This window comes from Homo sapiens, chromosome 3 (genome assembly GCF_000001405.40).
Source record: "Homo sapiens chromosome 3, GRCh38.p14 Primary Assembly".
Lineage (NCBI taxonomy): Eukaryota > Metazoa > Chordata > Mammalia > Primates > Hominidae > Homo > Homo sapiens.
Genome location: NC_000003.12, coordinates 70,366,793 through 70,385,956, shown reverse-complemented (window position 1 = coordinate 70,385,956; position 19,164 = coordinate 70,366,793). Strand labels below are relative to the sequence as shown.

The 19,164-nt window shown below is 34.0% G+C and overlaps 1 long non-coding RNA gene across 3 annotated transcripts in view, besides 1 other annotated feature; it reads right to left on the bottom strand.

The window, feature by feature from the left end:
* The window catches only part of SAMMSON (survival associated mitochondrial melanoma specific oncogenic non-coding RNA), a 435,002-nt gene that overhangs the window by 48,633 nt on the left and 367,205 nt on the right, over positions 1-19,164 (bottom strand). The gene's annotated exons all lie outside the window — the stretch shown is intronic.
* Positions 2,578-2,627: an enhancer, noted in NCBI's record as "active region_20058". NCBI's record gives its function as "activates an Ori minimal core promoter by ATAC-STARR-seq in GM12878 lymphoblastoid cells {active_cell/tissue: GM12878}" and the evidence as "EXISTENCE:reporter gene assay evidence [ECO:0000049][PMID:35858748]".

The window sequence follows — 19,164 nt, the reverse complement described above, 5'->3', positions numbered from 1 at the left end:
AGTCCAAAACTCAGGATGGAAAAACACTGTTGGAAAGAGATATTAATAGTGCTCTTCAAGCATTATCTGACACTTGTTAATCTTTACCAGCATCCACAGGAATTTTTCAAAAAACATAACAACTCTACCACTGTTTAAGTAAAGTTAAGATGACATATCTGTACTTTAGGAGCTTAAAATAAATAATGGACAAGAATGTAGAAAAAGGTGATATAGTGAGTTATTGCCACTAATCAGATAATTATGAAGGGACTCTGAGTCTGACATCCATCATCAAGTAGGTCATGCCGTTAGTCAAAATCTTCAGTATTGACAGACTATTGCTGCAACCTCCCAACTCACCCAATCACAGACTGTCCTGGGCTATACACCATGACAACTCAAGGATGGGTAATATTCTTGGTGCCCCCCATTGTCACCCCCACACAGCCTAGCAGAGTGCTGTATGTAACCCGACATTTCAATTTATATTGAATGAATAAATGGAATAAATCCAACCTTTGAATAAGTTTCCACATTTTGGCTGGTTTCCCAGGAATCCACACACACCTACAACAATGAAATGTTCTGAGGCTAATAGCTGTGCCCAATTTTGGCCTTTGTCTTCAATCTTTAACATATTTATAGTGATTATGAGGAAGTATTAATATCTGATGAGTACCTCTTACATGGTGGACCTACTGTTAGTTATCATAAGAACATTTTTCTCTGTTAATCTTCACGAAAAAATTAACAAGGTAAGTATTATTACCATTATTTTACAGAAGGAGAGAAAAGGAGGATTGGAACCCAGATGCTGAAACTACAACACCGTGCTTTTTCTTCTACACCACCTTGTCTATCAAAGTTCATGGGCCTAGACATTCCTTAGAAAGATGGACACATTCTGGCTTTCAGCTGGCTACCATTTTGTTTAATTAATTCCCCTGTTGCCTAGATTATTCTATTCCATATGTTAGCACTGGCACATGTGGCTATTAAAATTAACTGAAATAAAATAAAATTAGAAAGCTTCCCAGTCACATTAACCACATCTCAAGTGGTAATAGCCACAGCTGGCTAGTGACTACCTTACTGGACAGCACAAATATAGAACATTTCCATCATCCTAGAAAGCTCTATTGGATAACACTTGGATAGACGAAAAAAATCCTTATTTTATAGAATTCTTACCAGAAAATCTGAAGTCTACCACTTTTAGATGGCAGTGAGAAGGTAATTTCTAGTAAGCTTGTTATTTATTCTGACAGAGAAAGGTGAACTTTGCATCTGACCTATTGATGAGCATATTGTGTCTTTTGTTTATAGATGTTGCGGGGCCCCTGCTATTCAGGGGTACAAGTGCTTCTACTTGCCAATGACAGTGGAAATGGATTTACAATAATTTGCCTCAAGCCCTTTTCTTTGCCCCTTATGTCCACAGAAGTTTTATGTCCGGAGGAGAGCAAAACTATTTGATCTTCTTGAAGATCAAAATCAAAATACCTCAACTAAAGACTGGCCTCAAGTCATCGGATTGACTATATTTACCTCTCTGATTCCAAGGAAGTAAGAACTAAAGTGTTCTATATTATAATAAATGTGCAGGACTGCATACAGGCTTTGATGCCTTCCTATCATTTGATTTTCTTTTTCAGGAGGTTTTAAAATGTGCAGTGGTCACCTTCAGATCATTTTTATTTCCCATTAAAAAAATCCCTATATGTTTTATTAAAATTTTTCATCATGCATATTACACTCCAATTTATATTTTTTAACTGAAAAGGATTGATTAAATCAGCAGGTAGCAACTGAATCATGTTTGAGACTCAGTGTGACTGGTGTAGATTATTTTTTCCAAATTTGTTTTCTGCCCTGGGTAATTTTTTTTAGCCCTTGCTTTCTGCTCCTGGGTTTAGTGGCTCTCAAAGATTGCATCCTTAACCAATGGTTTTGTTGGTCATTTCACTCCCCACCAAGGACATCCAGGGTAAAAAAAATTCAAAATGCCTCAAGTTACTTTGCTTAATAAAAATTGACAGGTAGTGCTGATACAAGAAAAACAAATTGTTAGAGGTGAAAAATTCACAGCAGAAAGCATGCCTCACTGCAATACTGTAGGGCAGATGTTATAGGCTCGTTGTAACTTGTAGCAAAGTTAAAATAATAATGCGTTAGTAGCAATAATACCTTACATATCTAGAATGCTTTTCATCTACAGTTAGCCTAAGGCTTTTTACATGCTATATTTAGATACTGCTTCAACCTCCACTGAAATCTAGCTAGCTTTGCAGTGGCACCAATCATCCCCTCTCTGCCAGCAATATTACACAACAGTTTTTGGGAGGGAAAATGAAGAATAATTTCTCCTGTTGAAACTCCAGGAGGAATTTCTGAGTGGTAAGAATGTAATTTCTAAGTTAAGATTGGCACTGACACCGGGACTTAAAACCCCAATTCATACGGAAAGTGGGCGTGGAAACCTCAAAGAACATGAGCGGTCATGGCCATAGTTTTAGTCTTCAAATGACTAATTATAGCATTTACGAAAATGAAAGCTATTTTCTAATATGACTTTTTGCTTTTACCTGTTAGCTAAAAGGAGGACCATAAGGTTGTTTTTTTTTTTTATTTTTATTTTAAGGGAAAACAATTGTAAAAATATACCTACACTTTTAACCAAGTAGAAAGGTCAACAAATGTAACAAATGTATACTAGCCCTGCTAGGGACTGAAGGAGTGATATGTCTTTTTATATATAATTAATTATTTTACAAAGTTAATGACTCTCAAAGTATAATCATTAAATGCCTAAAAAGTAGATGAAAAACTATTTTAAATCATAAAGAGATTTATACTTTGGGATTCCCCATGTCCAATCTCCTAGTGGAAGGAGTTATGAAGGGAAGTTACCTATGAGAGCATGAGTGTGGGAGAGGAAGAGAAGATGAATAGAATAAGAAAAGACAGGAAGAAACCATTTTCATTTACTCAGAAGTAAAAACAAACCAATATGCAAAACAACCTTTATCTTCCAAACCTGAGAATACTCTTTGTCTCAAATTTTCCCTTAAACTAACCCTTCTCAAAGTCTGCAAAGGAAAAGGTTTCAACATTCATATAATAGAGTTCAAGAGCTATGTGTATGAACTGTTTGAATACCTGTTATGAAAAATGTTAAGATTGGCAACTACAAATTAAGAATACAAACTAAATAAAACTTTACAGCTAAGAATCCCAGCATTTCAAACAGCTTTTGACTTGTATTATAATTTTTACAACACTCTCAATCTCTCATTTTAAACTAAATTACTAAACAAGTATCAGCTTACTAGTGTACAGAATTGCTATCTGCTTGAAAAAAATACAAACATTTTGAAAGAGCCATCCAGGGAGAGCCATGATCCATTAAAGTTTTCCTGGTTCATTGGGACAAATTATTCTGGTTTTCATTCATTCATACGTTTATTTATTAATTCAACATTTACTAAATGCCAGTAGCAGCTGCCAGCTGTGGCAACCAGAAATATCTCCAGATATTGCAAAATATCCCCTAAGAGGCAAAATTGCTCCCATTTGAGAACCACTGATGTAACCTGAGTGCTTAAGAGATCAGTTTCTTGAGTTAGGAAGGGGATATATGTTTGGGTGGAATTATTAAAGAGCATCTCAAAAGATACTGTTAAGAATTAAGAGACGACACGCCAAAGAGAAAGAGAGAAGAAATATATGTATTCAAATCAAATCTCAGATAAATTTTCTTTTTTATTATATAAGTTCTGCAGACACATACTAAAGTGCTTAAATAAGAAACTGAACCTTTATATACCTATTACTGAGAATGAAGATTGTCTACATCTTCCATATGTATTTCATGTACCACTTTTAAAAAGACAAATCTTAAACACCACGCTATTTTATTTCTAAATATTCACTATGTATTCCCAAAAAGTGAAGACATTTTCCCACATAATCACAATATGAGTATTACACCTAACAAGATTAGCAATAGTTCCTAGACATCATTTAATATGGTCCATGATCATATTTCCCCAAATGACCATTGAAAAGTCCTTTTATAGTGGATTCATGTGATTTAAGACCCAAACAATATAAACAAATTGATTTAGCTGTTGATGTCTTTTAAATCTCCTTTTTTTCCTGTCTGTTCTTTTCTCCCCAAAAGCTATTGGCTTGAAGAAACTGGGTCTGTTCCCTCCAATTTCTCTTAGAATGTCCTCATTCTGGATTTGTCTGTTTTCTTCCTGGTAGTGCCATTTAACTTGTTTTTTTTTCTCCCCTTACTTCCTGCAATCTGTTCATTACACCCAGCTACTTGGTTTGACTCAGGTTTAGCTTGGTTCATGTGCAACATGTACTCTGTAGTGTCTCACATCAGGAAGCACATAAAATCTGGTTGTCTCATTTATTAATATGACAGTTTATCAGTGGGCACATGAAGGTTCATGAAGCAACAATCTAATATCTCTCTTGTAAAGTTACAAATTGGCCCTTAAATCTATCTACAGTTCTTTGGCAACCTGCAAATATGCAGTTGTCCATTTGTCTTTCACCCCATCGTTTTGGAATCTGTTGATAACCATTGCCTGGAATCAGTTCATTAAGATTGCAAAATGGCAATTTTTCTGTCACTCATTCCACATTTATTAGCTGGAATTCTTCTTTAAGAATTTTCCCTCATCAACTAGGCTTTATTTGGTTACCCTGAAATACAGCTCACAGGGGAAAGGCAGGAAATATGCTTTACTTCCCAACATTCAGAGTGAGGAATTGGTTTCTACATCTTTTTAACACAACTGCATTGGGCTATGAGAACTGCACTGCTCTACCATACAACAAATTCTCCAAGATGCTGTCAGAAAATAATGGTATTCATTTGACACAGCAGTCTCATTACTGGGTATATACCCAAAGGAGTATAAATCATGCTGCTATAAAGACACATGGACACGTATGTTTATTGCAGCACAATTCACAATAGCAAAGACTTGGAACCAACCCAAATGTCCATCAATGATAGACTGGATTAAGAAAATGTGGCACATATACACCATGGAATACTATGCAGCCATAAAAAAGGATGAGTTCATGTCCTTTGTATGGGCATGGATGAAGCTGGAAACCATCATTCTCAGCAAACTATCGCAAGGACAAAAAACCAAACACCGCATACTCTCACTCATAGGTGGGAATTGAACAATGAGAACACTTGGACAAAGGAAGGGGAACATCACACACTGGGGCCTGTTGTGGGGTAGGGGGGAGAGGGGAGGGATAGCATTAGGAGATATACCTAATGTTAAATGACGAGTTAATAGGTGCAGCACACCAACATGGCACACGTATACATATGTAACTAACCTGCACGTTGTGCACATGTACCCTAAAACTTAAAGTATAATTAAAAAATAAAAAAAGAAAAAAAAGAAAATAATGGTATTTAGAGACCACATTCTGAACACTTAGCACACATGACAACTATTTTGTCATTGTTTCTGGGGCTTTTTAGTGCACAAAACTAGAAAATAATGACTTTTTATTTTTAAAAAATGAGTCATTTTGATATTTCCAATTCAAATAGTATGTTACAGGATTTTTACTCAGATTCTTTGATTTTGTACTCGTATCTCTTTTTTCTTCTGCTGAAAATTCAGGTGTTTAACAATATTAGAAAAATATTTTTTATCCTACATAAACATACTTTAATCTCAAAACAATAATATCAGTAAGAACAAAACTTAAAATATTTTGTGGTTCTTAAATTTTTGACCTGAGGATAAATCCAGCTTAAGGTTATGCAGTGAAAACACTGCTCTAGAATGACTTGATGTAATTTTTTTTCTTTGAATTGTTTTGCCACCAGCACTTTATATAAATGTATTTATTTTCATTTAACTTTTTAGGGCTTCATTTTTCATTTTGGCTTTAACTTTTTCTTTTATTAATATGAAAAAATTACACCCCAAATCAAAAGTATTTAACAAAGTACACTGATAGATGTTTTACTTCCATTGCCTTATTCCCTTTTTTAACATTATTAATCATTTGTATTAACTTTAATATATTCTTAGCGTTTATTTTTATAAACATAGGCAACAAATACCATACACTATATTTTACACCTTGAAAATCAAAGGTAGCATGCATAACACGCTTTCCTTTTTTTTGCACTTTGCTTTTTTTCTCTATAAAGGACAAGGAAATTAGTTGCCCAGACTCGTCTTCAGTAAAGGAATTTTTTGCTAAGCTGCTGGGAAAGCTATAAGCAGATGGTCTTCAGCTGTCAGCCCCTTCAAGGGCATTTCAGCCACAGAGAGTTGTCTTGACCATATCCAATGACTGATTGAGCAGTGAAGAGGGAAGCTATCAAAGCCCAGTCATTTCAGCCCAGTAGAGGACCCTCTGATAAGCAAATGTAGCTCCAGAAGTCCTCATGGGTCATGTAAAGTTGTTGCTCAGGCTTTCATCGCAGTGCAATTCTCCCTCTGCCCAATCCTGCTTCCTTTTCCTGCCTTCACAGGTGTTGATCCCAGGAGCGCTGCTTTTCAACATTCTGCACACTAAACTCCATTTCAGAGTCTTCTCCCCAAACAAGGCTGTTAGATTTAGCAAATACAAATGCAGGATACCTACTAATTTGGATTTCAGTTAAACAATTATTTTTTTAAAAGTGTAAGTACACTTCGGGAGGCCGAGGCAGACGGATCACGAGGTCAGGCGCTTGAGACCAGCCTGGCCAACCTGGTGAAACACCTTCTCTACTAAAAATACAAAAATTAGCCAGATGTGGTGGTGCGTGCCTGTAATCCCAGCTACTCAGGAGGCTGAGGCAGAAGAATGGCTTGAACCTGGGAGGTGGAGGTTGCAGTGAGCTGAGATCGTGCCACTGCACTCCAGCCTGGGCGACAGAGTGAGACTCCGTCTTAAAATAAATAAATAAATAAATAAATAAATAAATAAATAAATAAATAAATAAAAGTGTAAGTATACCCCTGCAATGTTTGGAACATACTTATACTTATCCTAAAGAACACAACATTCACTTAATGGAATATCCTACAGAACACTCTGCGTTTATGTATATATCATTCCTTCATTTCTCTTCACTGTTCATTATAAGAATCTACAAGTGGGTTATTTACTATTTTTGTCATTGCATATGATGTCACAATAAATAATCTTATGTGTATGTCATTTCATACTTGTACCAATGTGTTTTGGGGTAGATTCTTACAAAAGAGATGGCCAGATTAAAGGTAAATGCATAAGTAATTTTGATAGATATTGCCCATTTATGTTTTCATTTATATCAGGAACCCTTCAATGGTTCTGCAAGTATATACAACTGTACTGTTATAATAAAATAGAATTCTATAGTTTATATATAACAAAACATTATACCATCAAAATATTTCCATTTTGCTACCTTTCTGGTATTTATTACCTCATGTTCATCTCACTAAAATAAGCCTATTTACCCACAGGTTTTTACCCTTCCTCATCCTTCTTCCTATAATTGATAAGTGTAAATTCCCATGCAGAGGACATTTTTATCATTGCTTATTTTTATATAAGTACAATCATTCTATAGACATTTCTCTACAGCTAGCTTTTCCCACTCAACATTACACATCATAGACATTGTTATGGGTCACCTCATAAAACCTGAAATCACTCTTTTTTATTAGTGGTGTGATATTTCCTAATATGGGTGAGACATTATTTAACTGTATTCCTATTTATTAGCATTCAGAGTGATTGCAGTTTTGTGCTATTCTATGTTAAAATAAACACTTATATATATAACTAAATTATATATAAATTATATATAACTAAATACTAGTGCTTTTACTTTGATAGAAAAGATTCTCTGAAGGGGAATTGCTGGGAAAGAAGGGATGTACTTTTTCATTTGAAATACATATTTCCATATTACCTTTTTAACGTGTATACCAATAAACAATCCCACCATCAATGTATGAGCGTATTCTCCTTCATGTACTCCACCAGTACTTATTAAATGTTTGTCAGTCTGATGGGCAAAAAGGAGTATCACATTGATATTAATGAAATAAAGAATTCCTTCATGTGTTTATTAGCCTTTTGAATTTCCTCTCCTGTCAATTGCCTATTCATATTCTTTGAACATTTTTCTATTGGCACACTTGCCTTTTGCTCACCTAATTGTAGGTATTTTTTAATATTATAGCTAGTATTCTTTTTCTGCCATATGTGTTGTAACTTTTTCTTGCAGCCTATCATTTGTCATGTGACTTCGTTTTTGGTATACTTCACCACAAAAATAATATCTTTATGAATTTAGATTTCTCTTTTCTTTTATGGCTCTGAGTTTCTGAATTGCTTAAATTACTCTCCTTTACATGGAAGTTATAAAAACATTCTTCTAAATTCTCTTATCAGGTTTTATTTAGATTAAAAAAATTTAATCTTTTACCCATCTGGAATTTATTTCTATTTATCTTGTGGAGTGGGGTGTCCAAAATTGCTGTTTATCCAGATGGACAGCCAGTTGTGAAAGCACATTTCATGAATAAATCACTCTTCCTCTACTAATTAAAGTACCATCTTCATTACATCTTAATTTTCTAAGTATACACAGTTACATTTCTTTCCACACAAATATGTGTCTCTTTCTATGTTAATACCTTATTATTTCCAGCATCAGGCTAAATTATAGCCGATCTTAATTTCTAGAAATTAACTATCTCCCATGATTTCTCTGTTTCATACAGTTTTTAGATATTTTGGACACTTATTCTTCCACATGGACATTCAGATTATTTCGCCTTTTAAATTTCACTCTTTCCAAACAACTTTTAAAGAACTTTTATACTTCTAATTGAGATTACAGTTTATTTCTATTGTTTTGAGTGATGGGCATTTTTATAAGATATCTTAAATTACTATTCAAGAATGGTATGCCTTTGCTTTATTGTAATCTAGGTTTATATACTTCAGTGGGTTTGAATAAGAATATTTCTGCAGTTATTAGAATGATATTTGTGAGGATTTTTAATGACATTCAAAAATATTTAATATTAAACCAAACAAAACAAAGAAATAAAATGATATGGGCAGCATGATGCCAGTTAAGTTAAAATGTACAGAAAAAGACCAAAAGGAAATATTTTAAAAAATTAACAATATGACATTTCTGGGTGCTAAATTTGTAGGTGGTCTTTATTTGCCATCTATAATTTTCTATACCTTTCAAATCTTTAATAGTGGGCTGAACTCAGAGCCTGGCTCTGGATGAGAAAAGTATGTAAATGCTCCTATTTTGCCTACTGAAAGAGGTCGTGAAGTTGAAATCCTAGAATCAATAGTGAAAAATAAGTGACACCTCTTGCTCTGTGCCAAAGTCCCATTTTGTCACAGAAGGACCTATAAAAAAACATTCTATGACAAGGTGTCTGATGGATTCAATCAAATTACATAGCACCAATGTATGTGTACAATGATTCTTTCCTTATAAAACAAACTCTAAAATAAGCATACCAGTTCTGCCTTACAACATAAGCATTATGTTAGAGTTCATGGGAAGTAATAGCAATTAGTGTATATGGCATTTATAACTTCATTCCAGCATATCATAAATGTCTCAAGTGGAAATTTTGAAAACACTTTACCCAAAATCACCAACTAGTTGAAGGACGAACTGGAGACAACGCTTAGTTAACTCAAAGGAAATTTTCCGTGAATTCTCTAGAACGTATTTTGATGAAGGCTAAATAGCCAATTGAAAATTGTTATTCCTGAATAAACCCTATCAACTTGTTCCTTATTGTCTCATCTTACAATATGTATCTTCTTTTGATTCTTCTGCAGTATGAAAATGAAAGATTGGAACACTAGGTATTCAATAAATGCAGGTTAAAACCTCCATATGAAAACGTCTCCCTATGTTAGCATTTTTTCACCTCCTCTTAGAAATCATACGACAGCAACAAGAAGACAGACATTTTTAAAAATGTCTGCAAACTCCATTTACAATGAAGCTAAGATATAAATGTAACCCAGAGACATGTATATGAACTACCCAAAACAGTTTAGATTGGGAAGATATGAAAAGAATAAAAACATGAAATTGTTGAGAGGGCCCAAAACAGTGAATACCGGAGAGAGTCAGCAAAAATACAGTTCCTGAAGGTGAGAGCCTCACTCTGCGATGAAAAAATTATACCATCTATGAGCAATAAGGGGCAGAAAATAAAGTAGACAGGACTGGAATAGAAACACTCTTAAACCTGGTGTGTCTCAAAGAAGCAGATGAAGTTGGCATATGCAAATAATCCTGTTGATATGCCATATTTGTAGGAATGACATATTTGCATATCTGTCCCTGTGGTAGCAGAGGAGAGAGCTTTCAGGTCATGAACCTGGAGAACTGCCCTGGCCCTTACCCCCTCCCAACTCCCACACCATCACAAATCTGCAAATAGCCAACTCACTCATGACAAGTAATAAAAGAGGGTCTAGAACAGCATCGATATAAAGATATGACACCAACACTTGTGGCAAAAAAAAAAAAAACAACAAAAAACTGTTCAACAGATGAAAAACACACATCATAAAATGTTGCCATGAAGCAGAAAAAAATTACAACCATAAACACTATTGAGCGTTTGAAAAACGTGATGAAGCTATCACCTCTAAGACCACACGGGAAATGCAAGAACATTATACAAAGCATAAATGCAATAATTTAGGGGAGACACAGAGAAATAAAGAGATAAAATGCGATGTGAATGAATTGAGTCAAGAATAGAAGTAGAATATAAAAACAAAAAATTGAGGGGCCTTCCACTTTTAGCAATATGGCATAGATGTACTTTTCACTATTCTTCTCATGCACTACAGCTAAAAACTCTGGACTTTACACGCATGCACACATATAGATATATAACATACGGGCCCTGTGAGTTCCATGGGTTTCCCTTTTAGCCTCATATGTATCAGACTCAATATTGGAGAAAATAACAACCTAGAAATGTTGAAGGGTTAAGATGAATAAGCCACAGCAAAAGCCCACTCTCTCTAGCCAAAGTACCAGCAGATTGGGGCAATTTAGCAAGACAGAAACTTTTAGATAATAGCTGCTGCACTCCAGCCAAATACCACAGGAAAAAAGTGTGGCCTTAGCTCCAGTCATGACAGCAAATGCCAACTGTGAAGCCTAGACTTCCACCATTCCCAGGCTGTGACAAACCATCGCAATGACCCCACTGTAGTGGTATTAGAGAAGGGAGCCAGGACTTTCATCCCCATAGTCAACAGTGAGGCTCTTCTCTTCCTCATGGTGTCAGTGGAGGCCACATGGAGATCAGTAACTAGACACCTTCCCAACCAAGGCAGTATTATCAGTGATTTCATGGGGAACCAAAAATGCCACTCCCACCCAGTAGCAATAATAAACTCCACCACCTCAAATGTCAATAGAATACAAAGCAAGAAACTTGGACTTCTATCCCCACCTAGCAATAACGAGCCATCCTCTTTTCTGCTGCTGGAAGGCTGTCATGAGAAAATAGCTTAAAAAGAAGGTTTAAAGACGACTCATCGTTTATAGTATTTCAAATATTTGTGTTTCAATAAAAAATCACTCATCATACCAAGAACAAGGAAAATCTCATCTTGAATGAAAAAAGGACAATCAATAGACACAAACAGTGAGACAACAACAATGTTATAATTATCTGACAAATACTTTAAAACCATCATTGGCCAGGCACGTTGGCTCACACCTGTAATCTCAGCACTTTGGGAGGCTGAGGTGGGCAAGTCCCCTGAGGTCGGGAGTTTGAGACCAGCCTGACCAACATGGAGAAACCCTGTCTCTATTAAAAATACAAAATTAGCTGGGTGTGGTGGCACATGCTTCTAATCGCAGCTACTCCAGAGGCTGATACAGGAGAATCGCTTGAACCTGGGAGGCGGAGGTTGCAGTGAGCCGAGATGGCGCCATTGCACTCCTGCCTAGGCAACAAGAGCAAAGCTCCATCTCAATAATAATAATAATAATAAAGCCATCAACATAAAAATACTTCAACAAGCAGTTATGTACATACTTAAAACAATTTTAAAAAATGAAAGATATCTTTCTACAGAGAAAGATAAGATATAAAGAAGAACCAAATGAAAAATTTTAAACTGAAAAACAGAATAACTAAAATTTAAAAACTCAGTAAATAGGCTCTATAGCAAAATGGAGGAGTCAGAGAAAATAATAATCGAACTTGAAGGTAAAACAACAGAAACTGGCCATTCTGAAAAGAAATTGAAAACAAAATGTACAGAGCTTCAAGAATGTACTGGACCATAATGAGAAATCTAACTTCTGTGTTATCAGAGTTCCAGAAGAGAAAGAGAGTGGGGCTGGAAAAAGTATCCAAAGAAATAATGATTCAACTTCTCAATGTAGCACAAGACATAAACATACAGATTGAAGAAGCTTATTATAGTAAACCCCAACAAGAAAACCTAAATAAATATACACCAAGACATATTACAGTCAAACTTCTAGAAATTAAAAACAAAGGAAAACTTGAAAACAGCAAGAAAAAACTCTTTCCTATGGGGAAAAACAAATGATAGCAGATTTATCATCAAAAATGATGAAGGACAGAAAGAAGTGGAATATTTTCTACAACTGGAAGAAGAGAACTCTGGGTCCAGAATTCTAAATCTAGTGAAAATATCTTTTGGAAATGAAAGGAAAATAATGACATTCCTAGGTAAAGGAAAACAGAATATTTAATCAGAAGACATGCTTTTAAAAAATGACTAATGGGAGGTTTATAAACAGAAAGAAAATGATAAGAGAAGAAATATTGGAATGTCAAGAAGGAAGAAAGAACAAATAAAGTAAAATGTGGGTAATACATTTTCTACTCTTGCATTTCTGAATTATGTTTGACAGTTGAAATAAAAATTACAACATTGTTTAATGAAGTTTTAAATGTAGGAATAGGAAGATTTTAAAACAATTATAAACGGATAAAAATAATAGAACTTAAAAGGAGGTAAGGTACCTAAATTTCACTTGAATAGGAAAAATGACACCAGTAGACTGTGAAAAGTTATGTACATAAAATACACAGCTAGAGCAACTGCTAGAAGAGTTATACAAAGAATTATACTTAAACATACTACACATAAGTTGAAGTAGATAAATTTAAGTTCATGAAAATTTAAAACTTTTGATTTCTACAAGACCCTGATGAGGAACTAGAAAGAAAAGATATAGGATGAGAGAAAATATTTCTGGAACACGTATGCAAAAAGTACCAGCATCTAGAATATGTAAAGAGCTGTCAAAACTCAACATTAAAAAATAGTGTGGGCATGGTGGCTCATACCTGTAATCCCAGCACCTTGGGAGGCCAAGGCAGGTGGATCATCTGCGGTCAGGAGTTTGAGACCAGCCTGGCCAGCATGGTGAAACCCCGTCTCTACTAATAATACAAAAATGAGCCAGGCGCCTGTAATCCCTGCTACTCAGGAGGCCGAGGCAGCAGAATCACTTGAACCTGTGAGATGGAGGTTGCAATGAGCCAAGATCACGCCATTGTACTTCAGCCTGGGCAACAGAATAAGACTCTGTATCAAAAATAAATAAATATATAAATAAAAATAAAATACATGAAATAAAATAAAACAAAACCATCTTAGTCCACTCATCAACAAATTAAGGAATAAAAATTATGGAATCATATCAATTGATGCAGAAAAAGCATTTGATAAAATTCAACCTATTCATGATTTAAAAACTCTCAGCAAACTAGGAAACGAGATTCTCAAAACTTGATTTAAGAAATCAATATAATGAAGAAAAAAATTTCTGATGATTCTCAATAGACACATAAAAAGCATTTTATGAAATGCAACACTGTCTTATGACAAAAACTCTCAACAGGCTAGGTGCAGAAGTGACATACCTCAACATAATAAAGGCCATAAATGACAAACTCACAGGTAACATCACATAAAATGGGGAAAAGATGAAAGCATTTCTTCAAAGAACTGGAACAAAACAAGAATGCCCACTTTCACCACTCTTATTTAACCTAGTACTGGAAGTCCTAGCCAGAGAAGTCAGGCAAGAGAGAGAAATAAAAGGCAACCAATCTGGAAAAGAAGAAGCCAAAATGTCCCTCTTTGCAGATGACATGAACTTATATGTAGAAAAACCAAAAGACTCCACGAAGAAACTCTTAGATTTGATAAATGAATTTATTAAGGTTGCAGGACACAAATAAATATGAAAAAAATCAATAGCATTTCTACACAACAATAATTAGCTGAAAAAGAAATCAAGAAGGCAATACATTTACAATAGCTATTAAAAAATAAAATGCCTAGGAATAAATTTAACCAAGGAAGTGGCAGACCTCTACAAAACAAAAACAACAAAAAAAGAAAAATAACAAAAACTACAAAACACTGATAAAATAAATTGAAGAGGATACAAACAAATGGAAAAACATTTTGTGCTCATGGATTGGAAGACTTACTATCAATAATGATCATACAACCCAAAGCAATCTACAGATTCAAGGCAATCCCTGTCAAAATACCAATGTAATTTTTCATGGAAAAAGAAAAAAAATCCTAAAATTCATATGGAACCAAAAAAGAGCCGGAATAGTCAAAGCAATCCTGAGCAAAAAGAACAAAGTTATAAGCATTGCATTACCTGAGTTCAAGATATATTACAAGTCTGTAGCAGTCCAAACAGCATGGTATTGGTATAAAAATAGACACAAAGACCAATGGAACAGAATAGAGAACCCAGAAATAAACCCATATATTTACAGCTAACTGATCTTCAAAAAAGCTGACAAGGACTTACATTGGGGAAAGGACATCCTCTTCAATAAATGACTAGGAAAATTGCATAGCAACATGCAGAAAAATAAAACTGGAATCATTTCTCTCACTGTTTACAAAAATCAACTCAAAATGGATTAAAGACTTAAACTTAAGACCCAAAACTATATGGATACTAGAAGAAAACCTAGGGAAAACTCCCCTGAGCATTGGTCTAGGCAAAAAGTTTATGACTAAGACCTCTAAATCATAGGCAAGAGAAACAAAAATAGACAAATAGGACTATATTAAACTAAAAAGTTCCTGCACAGCAAAGGAAATTATTAAGAGTGAAGACACAACCTGTTGAATGAAAGAAAGTAGTTGCAAACTATCTATCTGACAAAGGACTAATATGCAGGATATACAAGGAACTCAAACAACCCAATAAGAAAAAGCAAAACAAAACAAATAACTCTATTAAAAAGTGGGCAAAGGGCATGAATAGACATTTCTCAAAAGAAGATATACAAATGGCCAACAGATATATGAAAAAATGCTCACCATCACTAATCATCAGAGAAATGCAAATCAAAATCACAATGAGATATCATCTTACCCTAATTAGAATGGCTATTACTAAAAGACCAAAAATAACAGATGCTGACAAGGATGTAGAGAAAAGAGTAGTCTTATACACTGTTGATGGGACTGAAAATTAGAACCCACCACGGAAAACCGTATGGAGATTTCTCGAAAAATTAAAAATAGAACTACCATATGATCCAGCAATCCCACCGGGTATTCATCCAAAGGAAAGGAAATCCGTATATCAAAGGGATACCTACATCCACATGTTTATTGCAGCACTATTCACAACAGCAAAGATATGGAATCAGCCTAAATGTCCATCCATGGATGAATGGATAAAGAAAGTGCGGTGTATATATACGGTGGAATACTATTTGACCATAAGAAAGAATGACATCATGTCATTCGCAGCAACATGGATGGAACTGGAAGCCATTATGTTAAGTAAAATATGTCAGGCACAGAGAGATATGAGTTCTCACTCATACGTAGGGGCTAGAAAAGTTTATCTTACGGAGATAAAGAAAAGAATGATAGATTCTCGAGACTGGAAAGTTGTGGGAATGAAAGGGGAAGGATAAAGAGAGGTTGGTTAATGGGTACAAACTACAGTTAGATTGAAGGAATAAGTTCTAATGTTCAACAGCAGAGTATTATAAATATAGTTCATAACAATGTACTATATATTTTAAAATAGCTAGAGGAGAGGACTTGAAATGCCCCCAACACATAGAAATGATAAATACTTGAGGTGATGGATACCCTAAACACCCTGACTGGTTTGTTATACACTCTAGGAATGTAACAAAATATCACATGTACCCCATAAGTATGTACAAATATTATGTATCAATTTTTTAAAATCTACAAATACTTGTAGCTAACACAATACTTAATTACAAGAAACTGGGCTCTTTTCCCCTAAGATCAGGAACAGTGCAACATCTTCTCTCTGATTCCTCTTATTCAACATCATAGATGAAGTCCTAGGTAGTGCAACATGGCAAAAAAAAAAAGAATATAAAAGTAATACAGGTACGGAAAAAAAATTAAACTGCTTTGGTTGGCAGATGACATAATTGTCTTACAGAAAATTTCAAAGAATTATCATTAATAACAACAAGCATTTTGAGAGAATTTAAAAAATTTTTTTCCTGTCATGCTCCAGAATTTTTTGATTTTCTGATATTAAAAGTCATGAAGGGAAGAAATAAAACTGTCTTTACTCACAGATGACATGATTGTCTATCGAGAAAATCCCAAAGATTCCACCAAAACAGTTCTGGAACTAAGTGAATATAGTGAAGCTGTAGGATACAGCGTTAATATACAAAAATCAATTGCTTTCCTATATAAAAGCAATGGCTTTCAAATAATTGGAGTTAGAAAGATTACAAATAATATAATTTATATTTAAAATAGACATTTATAATAGCACCAAAAAATAAAATACTGAGGTATAAATCTAACAAAATACATACAAGTCTGTGTATAGAAAACTTTAATTTAAAAAAATCAAAGAAAATCTACATAAATGGGAAGATGTGCTGTGTTCATGGATTGGAAGACTCAATGTTAATTCTTACCAGAAGAATCAATCTACAGTTTCAACACAATTCAATCAAAATTACAGCAAGATATTTTGTAGATATTGACAATAATTCTAAAGTTCATACAGAAATGCAAATTACCTAGGGTAGCCAATATAATATTGAAGACTAAAGTTGGAGGACTCAAACTACCCAAATTTCAAACTTACTATAAAACTACAGTGATCAAGACAGTGTGGTGTTGGTGAAGGAATAAACACATAAATCAACAGAACATAACAGAGAGCCCAGAATTAGACCCACACAAATACAGGAAAGCAATATTTGACAAAGACACAAAGGCAATTCAATAGAGAGAGGATAATGTTTCAGTCAATGGCATTAGAAAATGGATGCCCATACGCAAAAAAAAGTTAGATACAGATTTTACCTTTACACAAATATCAACTCAAAATTTACCATACATCTAAATGCTCTGAGTTTGTTATTAAAAATTTGAAAGCTATAGAAAATTATAGATGGCAAATAAAGACCATCTACAAATTTTTTTCACTCAGGCAAGTCACATTGTTAATGTTTTAGAATATTTCCTAACAGTCTTTCTCTGTGCATTTTAACTTAATTGACATCATGCTGCTCATATAGTTTTATTTATTTACTATTATTTGGTTTAACATTAAATGTTTTTAATATCATTAAAAACCTTCACAAATATCATTCTAATAACTGTATAGTATTCTTATTGGATTCTGTTGAAGTAAATAAGAAAACATTGGATGAAATCTATGTTCTTTGAATTTGAGGATGAGTTTTCAGATATAATAACAAAAGCACTGCCTGAAGAAAACATTTTTAAAATAGAACTTACTATTATTAAAATTAAAAATTTCTGCTCTGCAAAAGACACTTAAGAAAATGAAAAGATAAATTCTACACTGGAAGAAATATTTGCAGAAAACATATCTGATAGAAGACTTGTATCCAAAATATAAAAAACTCTTCAAACTCAACAATAAAAAAAAAAACCCAATTTTAAAATGGGCAAAAATATTACCAAATAGACAAAAGAAGAAAAACAAAAACAAAAACAAACAAAAGACAGACACTGGCAAGGATACGGAGAAAGGGGGACTCTAGTACACTGTTAGTGGGAATTAAATTAGTACAGCCATTATGAAAAACACTATGAAATTTCCTCAAAAGTCTAAAAATAGAACTATCTTGTAAGCCAGCAATCTCACTACAAGGTATATATCCAAAAGAAAGGAAATCAGTAAGTCAAAGAAATATATGCTTTCCGATGATTAATACATCACTGTTCACAATAGTCAAGCTATGGAATCCACCTAAATGTTCATCAACAGATGAATGAATAAAGAAAATGTAGTATACATGCAAAATGGAATATAATTCAGCCATAAAAAATGATGAAATCCTGTCATTTGCAGCAACATGGATAAGCCTGGAGGACATTAGGTTAAATGAAAAAAGCCAGGCACAGAAAGACAAATATCACATGTTCTCACTCATATGTGGAAGCTAAAAAAGTTGATCTCTTTGTTTTAAGTTGATGTTTTCAATTAAAAAATTTTTAAAAAATTTAAAAATTCATCTCATGAAGGTAGAGAGTAGAATGATAGTTACCAGAGGCTAGGAAAGATGGGGGAAAAGATGGGTAAAAAAAGATTGATTAATGGGTATAAAACATTTAATTAGATAGAAAGAATAAGTTCTAGTGTTTGATACCACAATAGGGTGACTATAGTTGTCCGTAATTTATTGTATACTTCAAAGTAGTTGGAAGAAAAGATTTGTGTTCTTAACACAAATAAATGATAACTGTTTGAGGTGATGGAAAGATATCTCAATTACCCGGATTTAATCATTGCTTACTGTATGAATTTGCCAAAACACCACAGATACTCCATAAATATGTACAATTATATATCCATACAATTTTTTTGGAACTCAAAGGATAAATGAGCAAAAGTACGAACGGAAACCTCAGTAAAGAAAATATACGGATGACAAATAAGAATATAAAAATATGCTCAACCTCATTTGTCACTAAGAAAATGCAAATTAAAACAATGAAAAGAAACACTACACATATATTAGAATGGCTATAATTCAAAATATAATAGGAGCACAATTCCTGAAAAGGAAATGGAGCAACAGAGCTCCACTATATTAC